The sequence below is a fragment of the Homo sapiens genome, chromosome 1 (genome assembly GCF_000001405.40).
Source record: "Homo sapiens chromosome 1, GRCh38.p14 Primary Assembly".
NCBI classification, from domain to species: Eukaryota; Metazoa; Chordata; class Mammalia; order Primates; family Hominidae; genus Homo; species Homo sapiens.
Window position 1 is genome coordinate 156,392,816 of NC_000001.11, and position 10,030 is coordinate 156,402,845.

General features: G+C 54.0%; 4 annotated features.

Moving 5' to 3' along the window:
- Positions 81-586: an enhancer, noted in NCBI's record as "H3K27ac-H3K4me1 hESC enhancer chr1:156362688-156363193 (GRCh37/hg19 assembly coordinates)". NCBI's record gives its function as "activates a minimal SCP1, AML or CMV promoter by ChIP-STARR-seq in primed H9 embryonic stem cells {active_cell/tissue: H9 hESC(primed)}" and the evidence as "EXISTENCE:reporter gene assay evidence [ECO:0000049][PMID:30033119]".
- Positions 5,648-5,942: a transcriptional cis regulatory region, noted in NCBI's record as "candidate enhancer chr1.9068 targeted for multiplex CRISPR interference". NCBI's record gives its function as "positively regulates C1orf61 gene expression with high confidence in K562 cells {active_cell/tissue: K562}" and the evidence as "EXISTENCE:mutant phenotype evidence [ECO:0000015][PMID:30612741]".
- Positions 7,344-8,019: an enhancer, noted in NCBI's record as "H3K27ac-H3K4me1 hESC enhancer chr1:156369951-156370626 (GRCh37/hg19 assembly coordinates)". NCBI's record gives its function as "activates a minimal SCP1, AML or CMV promoter by ChIP-STARR-seq in naive H9 embryonic stem cells {active_cell/tissue: H9 hESC(naive)}" and the evidence as "EXISTENCE:reporter gene assay evidence [ECO:0000049][PMID:30033119]".
- Positions 8,694-9,367: an enhancer, noted in NCBI's record as "H3K4me1 hESC enhancer chr1:156371301-156371974 (GRCh37/hg19 assembly coordinates)". NCBI's record gives its function as "activates a minimal SCP1, AML or CMV promoter by ChIP-STARR-seq in naive H9 embryonic stem cells {active_cell/tissue: H9 hESC(naive)}" and the evidence as "EXISTENCE:reporter gene assay evidence [ECO:0000049][PMID:30033119]".

Sequence of the window (10,030 nt, forward strand, 5' to 3'; positions counted from 1 at the left end):
CCCCTCAGTGTGAATGGCCCATTATCCTGCCTTGAGGATGGGAGTTGAGGGTCTCTTTGTGTCCCCCAGGAAAGGCCTCTCTGGCGATAATCACCCTGAGAGGGCGGTGGAGGTGGTGAGGAGGATCTTTAAAGGGGGCCAAACCTCCCCAGAGAACAGTTGGCCATTCAGGCCTCCAGCCCCTCTCTTGTCTCCAGCAGCCTGGGATTCAGTGGCCCATCTATGGGGGGTGGGGCGAGGGCTAGGCCAACACACATGGCCAAGCTTGGGCTTAGGCCCCCTCCCCATCAGTGTGGCCTGCCAGACTGAGCCCAGGGGTGGCTTCTCCAGGAAACCACCCCAGCCTCCCTCTCAACCCCCACCTAATGTTGGGTGCCCTGGGGCTTTGTCTCATTTCCCCTGAGACACTGAGTTTCTCTGGGGGCCAGATCTGCCTGGGAGCAGACATTGACCTTTGACCCTGCCATGTCCTCTTTTATGAAACATGGGGATTCTCATTCCACTCCTACAAATTCCCTATGGGATGAGGGCATTAGCCCCATTTCACAGATGACAAACTGAGCACTTAGCAGACTTGTCTAAGGTTACACATCAAGTTAGGGGCAAATTAGATTAGAGCTGGATCCTTCTTTTTTTGTTTGTTTGTTTGTTTTTTGAAAGCCCTGATACTGTACCAGGTACAAGGCTTTTGTACAGGCTGTCCCTCTGACCGAAATGCTCACCTCCCAAACAACCCGAGGGCTGATTCTGCGCCTCCCTTGGTCTTTGCTTGAATCACATCCTTCATGGAAGGAGATGTCTGGGATTTGCTTCAAAATAACACGGGAAGTGGGGGAAAAGGAGGTGGGAGTGCAGATGAAACAAGATTGGCAGATGTTGAAGCTAGACGAGGGATAGGTGGGGTCTCATTATACTATTCTGTTTATTTTATATCTATTTTTAAATTTCCACAAGAAAAAGTGGAACAAAACCTGGTTTTCCCTAAGCACCTTATTTTATTTTTGAGGCAGAGTCTCGCTGTTGCCCAGGCTGTAGTGCAGTGGTGCGATCTCAGCTCACTGCAACCTCTGCCTCCTGGGTTCAAGTGACTCTTGTGCCTCAGCCTCCCGAGTAGCTGGGATTGCAGGTGCCCACCACCACGCCCAGCTAATTTTTGTATTTTTACAAAAAATTTTCATCGTGTTTTACCATGTTAGCGAGGCTGGAGGCACCTTATTTTAAATTGCAATTCACCATCCCCAGCCCAGCCTTGCCTCGTACCCTTTCCTTGTTTTTCTCCAGATCACTTATTATGGTGTGAAACTCTTAAGTATTTTACCCATTTGTTTTGATTCTTGCCAATGGGCTACACTAGGTTAAAGGTCATGGGGTCAGAGGTCTTGGGGTTCATTTGTGCAGGCCGGTTGGCCAGTGCCCCAGCAAGAAGAGCAGCGCCTGGCACCGGGATGCCTTTGATCCTGTGAGTCAAGGTCTGGGTGACGCGGTGTCCAGAGGCTCTTGGCCCAGTTGCCAAGGAAAGGGACGGCCTGTCAGTTGTGTTTTGGGCCTGTCGGGTCCTTCAGCACCTGGAGCCACAGCCGGAGGGTTCCTTCCCAGCACTCCCAGCCTGGGATAAGCCCCTAAGTGTCCCATTATGTACCATTCACTCTTACTTTGTCGGCCCCATCCACAGCCGCTGCGTCCTTTTGTCAGAGGGGCCTGGGAGGGCGAGGGGCTATTACCACAAGGCCTCATTATTCCCAGCCAGAGTAGTAATGAGGAGTCCCTTCCCCAGACTAGTACATTTTGCAGGGCCCCTCCCATTTAATAACTATAATAAAGGCCACCATTTATGAGTCCTCTCCTACACCAAACACTTTACATACATTATCTCATTTAATTCCCCCGACAGCTCTGGGAAATAGCTACTATTTGTATCCCCATTTTTCAGATGAGAAAGCTAAGACAGAGACTACAATTTCTTTCTCCTCGGCTCAGCTGTACAGGCAAGGGTAGGGCAGGGACACAACAATGTCCCAGTAGGGACAACTGAGGTTCGGAGAGGGGACGTGGCCTGGGGAAGAGCACACTGCAGATTAACAACAGGGCAGCGAGATCCCCTTCACTGTGTGCGGGGAAGGGCAAGTGGAAGCTCTCAGTTCTCCAGGTGACGTCTCACTCCTATCCCCCAGCTGCAGTAGGGGAGTGGCCATCACTGTCTCACCCCTCACGGGCAGGTGCTTCAGTGACTTACTCATGTGTACACAACTAGTGAGAATCCAGGTGCTCTGTCCACGATACCAACTGGGGGACGGCAGGTGAGAAGGGAATCATCCTGAGAGGCTCCTGAAGGATGAGGCTGAGTGTGGGCCACCATGAGTGGGCCCAGCTGGCCCAGCAGGAGGCAGGGGTAGAGTGATGGAAGGGGAAGGCAAAGAGAAGGGACTGAAATGCCACTGGTTCCTCTTTTTTTTTTTTTTTTTGAGATGGAGTTTTGCTCTTGTCGGCCAGGCTAGAGTGCAGTGGCGCTGTCTCGGCTCACTGCAACTTCCACCTCCCGGGTTCAAGCGATCCTGCCTCAGCCTCCTGAGTAGCTGGGATTACAGGCGCCTGCCACCATGCCTGGCTAATTTTTGTATTTTTAGTAGAGACGAGGGTTCACCACGTTGGCCAGGCTGGTCTCGAACTCCTGAACTTAGGTGATTCTCCTGCCTCAGCCTCTCAAAGTGTTGGGATAACAGGCATGAGCCACTGTGCCCAGCCAGAGGTTCTCTTATGCTCTGGCCTTTGGGGTCAAACACTGTCCTTCCAGCCTAAAAAAAAAAAAAATTGTTTCTAAATAAATAATTTCTTCACGTGTAATAAAACTTTTAAGGTGCAGCGGCTGGGCGTGGTGGCTCACACCTGTAATCCCAGCACTTTGGGAGGCCGAGGCGAGCAGATCACGAGGTCAGGAGATCGAGACCATTCTGGCTAACACGGTGAAACCCTGTCTCTACTAAAAATACAAAAAATTAGCCGGGCGTGGTGGCGGGCGCCTGTAGTCCCAGCTACTCAGGAGGCTGAGGCAGGAGAATGGTGTGAACCTGGGAGGCGGAGCTTGCAGTGAGCTGGGAGGCGGAGCTTGCAGTGAGCTGAGATCACGCCACCGCACTCCAGCCTGGACGACAGAGTGAGACTACGTCTCAAAAAAACAAACAACAACAACAAACTTTTGAGGTGCAAAAGAGTATACTATACTGTAGGAGGTCTCCTGTCCGCTGGGTCTCTGCTACCCAGTTCCCATCCCAGAGACAACCCACGCGCCTGGTTCCCGGTTGTCCTCCCAGAGCTACCCTGTTTCAGGCCTTTCATTTATAAAGGTGAATGCCCACCCCTCACCAGGCCATTCATTCATTTGTGTCCTGAATAAGTAGTGAGCACCCTCTCAGCCTGGCTCTGGGTTGCCAGAGATAACTGACCCTCAAATCTGAGGGGAGCCCAGGGATGGAGGGGAAAGGAAGACCCCCCCAGTAGCGCCATGTGGGTGGAAGTTCACAGGTAACAGTGAGCAGAAGGGATGGCTTCCCAAGGAGAGGGAACAGCATGTGCAAAAGCTCAGTGGTACGACACCACTGTGCGTCCAGGTTCACAGGGTGCTTTCTGTATGTATGTATGTATTTATTTATTTATTGTGACAGAGTCTTGCTCTGTTGTCCAGGCTGAAGTGCAGTGGCCAGATCAGCTCACTGCACCCTCCACCCCTGAGCTCAAGCAATCCTCCCACCTCAGCCTCCTGAGCAGCTGGGATTACAGCCCCATGCCACCATGCCCGACTAATTTCTTTTTTTTGAGATGGAGTCTCACTCTGTCGCCCAGCCTGGAATGCAGTGGCGCGATCTGGGTTCACTGCAAGCTCCGCCTCCTGGGTTCACGCCATTCTCCTGCCTCAGCCTCCTAAATAGCTGGGACTACAGGCGCCTGCCACCACGCCCAGCTAATTTTTTTGTATTTTTAGTAGAGACGGGGTTTCACCATGTTAGCCAGGATGGTCTCGATCTCCTGACCTCGTGATCCACCCACCTCAGCCTCCCAAAGTGCTGGGATTACGGGCACGAGTCACCGCGCCCGGCCCATGCCTGGCTAATTTTTTAAACTTTTTTTTGTAGAGATAGGGTTTCGCCATGTTTTCCAGGCTGGTCTTGAACTCCTGGGCCCCAGTGATCTGCCTGCCTCGGCCTTTCAAAGTGCTGAGATTATAGGCGTGAGCCACCAAGCCTGGGCCCACGGTCTGCTTTTTGCATGAGAGGCAAGAGAGCAGCCTGCACAAACTGGGTGAGGCTGGACTCCCATAGCCGGAGGTCTTTGGGCTGCAAGCTGCACACTCTTGACCTCCAGCCTGTAGACTCTCAGAGTCTAGAGAGGGTTTGACTATCTGACCCATCCCAGGAAGAAGGAAGGGCCTGAAAATGGCCATCCCTGGTCTTTGGGACCCTTGACGTCTATTTAGGTCGGGGAGCGTGTCTCCTCCTCAGTCTTTTTTTTTTTTTTTTTTTTTTGAGATGGAGTCTCACTCTTGTCCCCCAGGCTGGAGGGCAAAGGCATGATCTTGGCTCACTGCAACCTCCGCCTCCCAGGTTCAAGCAATTCTCCTGCCTCAGCCTCCCGAGTAGCTGGGATTACAGGAACCTGCCACCACGCCCGGCTAATTTTTGTATTTTCAGTAGAGACGGGGTTTCACCATGTTGCCCAGGCTGGTCTTGAACTCCTGACCTCAGGTGATCCTCCCGCCTTGGCCTCCCAAAATGCTGGAATTACAGGCATGAGCCACCACGCCCGGCCCTTCTCAGTCTTTACTGTGTGGTTGTGAGGGTTAAGTCAGTTTGTCAAGTGCTCAGTACAGTGCCTGACACAGACTACATTTTCAGTTGTACTCTGTGTGGGATATAATAAATTCCTCTTCAAAGGTTTTAGCTCGTTAACTTCCTTTAAAATTCAAGAGGGAGAAAATTGTTAAGTACAATGAGTTCTGAGTCCCTCTCCAAAGAACCAATGTATCAGTATGTTCAGCTCCCCTGTTCTTTCTTCTCCATTTTATTTATTTATATTTATTTATTTATTTTGAGACGGAGTCTCACTCTGTTGCCCAGGCTGGAGTGCAGTGGTACGATCTCGGCTCACTGCAAGCAGTGAACCCTCCCAGGTTCACGCCATTCTCCTGCCTCAGCCTCCCGAGTAGCTGGGACTACAGGCGCCCGCCACCACGCCCGGCTAATTTTTTGTATTTTTAGTAGAGACAGGGTTTCACCGTGTTAGCCAGGATGGTCTCGATCTCCTGACCTGGTGATCCGCCTGCCTCAGCCTCCCAAAGTGCTGGGATTACAGGCGTGAGCCACTGCACCTGGCTTATTTATTTTTTGAGACGGAGTTTTGCTCTTGTTACCCAGGCTGAAGTGCAATAGCGCCATCTCTGCTCACTGCAATCTCCACCTCCTGGGTTCAAGCGATTCTCATGCCTCAGCCTCCTGAGTAGCTGGGATTACAGGCGTGTTCCACCACACCTGGCTAATTTTGTATATTTAGTAGAGATGGGGTTTCTCCATGTTGGTCAGGCTGGTCTGGAACTCCCCACATCAGGTGATCTTCCCGCCTTGGCCTCCCAAAGTGCTGGGATTACAGGCGTGAGCCACAGCACCCGGCCTTGTTCTCCATTTTAAAGTTTAACTTCCTCATTCTTTGTCTCCTTGCCCCTAGTCTCAGTAAACAACTCCCTCCTAGCCTCTATCACCTGCTCTGTCCTTAGTAACCTGCTTTGTCCTTAGTCATCCTTAGTCACCTGCTCTGTCCTTAGTCATCCTTAGTCACCTGCTCTGTAACCGTCCTTCCCGCCAAAACTACTCACCCCACCACTCCGGCTCCTACCCTCGCTCTCTTTTTTTTTTTTTTTTTTTTTTTTTTTTTTTTTTTTTTTTGTGAGACGGAGTCTCGCTCTGTCGCCCAGGCCGGACTGCAGACTGCAGTGGCGCAATCTCGGCTCACTGCAAGCTCCGCCTCCCGGGTTCACGCCATTCTCCTGCCTCAGCCTCCCGAGTAGCTGGGACTACAGGCACCCGCCACCGCGCCCGGCTAATTTTTTGTATTTTTAGTAGAGACGGGGTTTCACCTTGTTAGCCAGGATGGTCTCGATCTCCTGACCTCACGATCCACCCGCCTCGGCCTCCCAAAGTGCTGGGATTACAGGCGTGAGCCACCGCGCCCGGCCACTCTCGCTCTCTTTAAAATAGCCAATCGGAATTAGCTTAGACTATGCGGTCCAACCTTAGCCAATAGGGAAAAGACATAGCAGTAGGGACTAGCTGCATTAGGGATAAGACCCCCTTCTCCTCCCTTGTCTGGTGTGCTCTCACCATTGCTCCATCCACTAGACACACCCTGCTATAGAAGTAAATTGCCTTGTTGAGAAAACTTTTGCCTGAGTGCTATTTTCATTTTGCGGCACCGAGCATTTACTTCCAACATCTGTTATAATTATTCCAAGGAGAGCCTCTCTTTCCCGTAACCATCCCGTGTCTCAGTGTCCTCTCTCTGTGGGGATCTAAGCACCCTCTTTGTTCACGCCCAGCTCCCAGAAGTCTTCTCCAGGCCTCCCATGACTCCGTAGGCTGCAGGCTTCATCTTGGTTTTCCAGGGAGGCCATTAAAGGAAGGACTGGCCAGAGCATGTGAGCATGTGCGCTGAGGGCTCAAAGTGAAGAAAAAGACTTTCCCTCCTGGCCCTTCAGCTCCGCCTCTCCTCTTCCACCTCCCTTAAAAAAACACCCGACTCATTACAGAGCCCCAGCAGCCAGGCCCTGGCTGAAGCCCTGGTGAAGCAGCAATTAGATCATTAGCACCCGCCCCAACCCACCTGCTTGGAGCCCCTCAAACACCTTTTAATTATAATCCCTTAATCTCCCTCAGATGGCGGGGCTGGCTCTAGGGTTTTTGCCCTGCACAGCCCCTTTCCTTCTCTCTCTTTCCCCAATTAAGGGGTTCTCTTGGTAGAGAGCCCCTTTCCCAGCTAAAGGCCTCTCAGTCCCGGGAAGAGCAAGATCTGTTGCTCTGTCTCTTTCTCCATGGGCAGTGGCCTCAGATATCCGTGCTGGTCCACCTGGAGGCTCCCCTGCAAGCAGGGCTGAAATCCCCACAGTGTGCCTCCTGGCCTGGGGACAATTGTTGAGATGCCTGAAGACCCTTTGTCTTCTCCCTTGGTCTCCTCTTGTCCTGGTTTCTTTGTGTTTTCTGGGAAGCATCTCCCACTGGCCCTTTTACAATGACTTCTATTTCCCTCTCAGCCCACTCGGGCCACCCTGTCTGGGCCAGTGGCCTCTTTGGCATCTCCTTCCAGGAGCCACCAGGTTCTGTCACAGGTGGAATTGAGGCCAGAGCCCTGGCAGAATGTCTCCTGGTGACAGCCCTATTTTGACCTCCAGCTGACCTCAGTAGAGCTCAGCCTTTCCCTCCCACCCCCCCAGGCCCACTCAGGACCCTGGCACCCTCAGCCACATAGGGGCTGGCAGAACATCGGGTCGGTCTGTATCCCTGGAGCTTCGAGCAGGGCAGAGGCAGGAGGAGGGACAAGATGACCCAGCGTGTGGCCCTGTCTGAAGCTGAGCCTGGATGAACCTCTTTCCTGGGAAAGTTCTGTCACTAATTGACTTGCAAATGCCTTGTTTGTCCCCAGATTCATAATTAGTGCTAAGTATTTCTAGGGCCCCATCCTGGAGGGGCTTTTTTTGGGGGCAGCCTGTTCCTCTCCCCCTCTCTGAGGTTGGCCAGGCTGGGGGTGGGCAAAGCCGGGCACCGGTGCCCAGCTGCCGTCCAGCGTTCCCACGGCTATGGTGCCAGCGTGTGAAAGGCGAGGTGCGGGGGGCGCGGGGGCTGGGGCTCCCCGCCATCCTTCAGCCGGGACCACGGCCAAGCCCCGAGGCTCCAGGAAACGACAGAGCTGGGGAGCGGGCTGTGGCAGCGGGTGGGGGCTGGCTGGCACCCCCAGGAAGGATAGCCCAGCCGGTGCCGGGGGCTGGCATCAGCCGAGCCTCCGGCACTATGAATGGGCCAACAAGGGGCCTCTCTTCCCCACAGCTTCTCCACAAAGGCTTTGGCTGCACCACTGGATGTGGGGGGCCAGGGGCCACTGGAGGAAGAGGAGAGGCTATTCTCAGAGACCCCTCCACTCCTGGCCTCTGCACTCCTAGGAAGGGGCTGGGGACCCAGGAGCCAGAGTTTAGGCCCAGCTTCTACTTGGATCTGCTGACTGAGGGGGCAACTGTTTTAACCTCTCTGGGTCTCAGTTTCCCCCACTGGATCATCCCTGGCATCTTTCCCAGCCATGATGGTACCCTCTTGGTTGCAGCCCACCCAAGTTCCCCCAGTAGCCTCCCCTGGAACTGCACTGGCAATTCTCAACCCTCTGCAGGCCCTACCTTGGCTGAGACCCAACTGGACCTCCCCTCAGGGTGTATCAGGCCCCTGCTCCAGGCACAGCTCTCCAACCCCTAGTGCCCCTCCTCTCCCCTCAGGTAGGAAGAGCTGTTCAGTGTCTGCCAGGAAGCAGTGGGAAGGGTCTAAGCTGTGGCTGCCTGCCGTAAAGTCGGACAGGCCAGGGCCTTGCCACTTGCAAACCGTGTGATGTGGGTGAGTCTCTCTGCTTCTGTAGGCCTCCTCTGCAAAAGGCCTCACAGGGTTATCACTGGGATCCAGTGAGACTGAGTGGAAGGCATCCTGTGCGGGGCTCAGCAGAGAGTGGCTGCTCAGTCGCGGCTCCTTTTCTCCTCTTCCCCAGCCTCCCTCTCAAAGCTTTCTGTGAGTTTGCCTGTGTTTTCCTGTGGCTGAGATGTCCTTTCATTGTGCACCCCTATCTTTTTTACCTGGCCCTCTCAGCAGCCTCTCTATATTCCCTATTTCATCTCCAGTTCCTTTCCCAGAACTAGCCATTTTTTTTTGGTAAGTCCTTCCTGAAGTCTAACCTTCTATTGCAGGTTGCCTCTCCCTGGGCCTGGACTCTTCCCAGGCTGCCCTGCAGCTGGAGCCCAGAGGGAAGGGGAGGAGGTGGGCTCTATGGTAACCCTGAGAAGAGAATGCCCTCTCTCCTCATCTGCATACAGACGGGCTCATTTGCATACAGACAGGCCTCATCTGCATATGCTCAGTGGGACTCTGAGAGCGCACATTCCAAAGTGTCCTGCCTGGGTCCTCCCACCCCAGTCCTGACATCTCTGTCCAGGGAGGGGTCCTTCCCCGCCCCTTCTGCCCCTGTCTGGGTCTGGGTCATTCTGTTTCCAAAAGGCTGTCCACCCTCTGGGGCCCTCTCCTGCTTTTCTTTCCTGTGCTCAGAGGAGTCCTTTCCACCCACCTCCTCCTTCCTGCCCCAGCTCCCCCGCCGGGAGCCTCCCCTCCAAGCCAGAGGCCAGGAGAGGAGGCAGAGGACTAGCCACAGTGGCCAGCTGCCTCTCCCTGCTCAGGCCCCCCAGCACCATGGTAAGGTGACCACGAAGACTGATGCTCAGGTTGTGGGGTACAAACAAAAGCAGGGGGAGGAGTGGGCAGACCTGGGAAGCTTCTTCCATACCAATGGACCCCAAGCCAGATCCTGCCTCCATTCACCCCACCTCCCCAGGGCCACAGTGGGTCCTGGCAAGGCTAGGAGTGGGAGGGCCCCAAAATGAAGGCTGGAACCTCAGAAGCACTGATGAGCGCCCAGACGTGGTGAGACTGAGCTCAGCCCCTTAGATATGCCAGACTGTGATGCAAAGGAAATTGCCTCCTCCTCCCAGCAGCATCCCCGGTCTCAGTCAGCCCTCCAAATCCCAGTTTTGGGGCTCCTGGACATATAGGTCAGGGAGAGCCTGGGATTCTTCTCCTGATGGGCCCCCACCACGCTGAGGACCCTGGACATAGCCCTTCTCCTCTCTGGCCTCAGTTTCCTCTATGAAATGAGGAACTGAGCTAGAGCAGGTGGCTCATTACGTGAGCCCTCCTCCTGGAAATAGTGCCCAGGCGCCTGGCCAGCATTCTGCATGCAATTTTAGTAT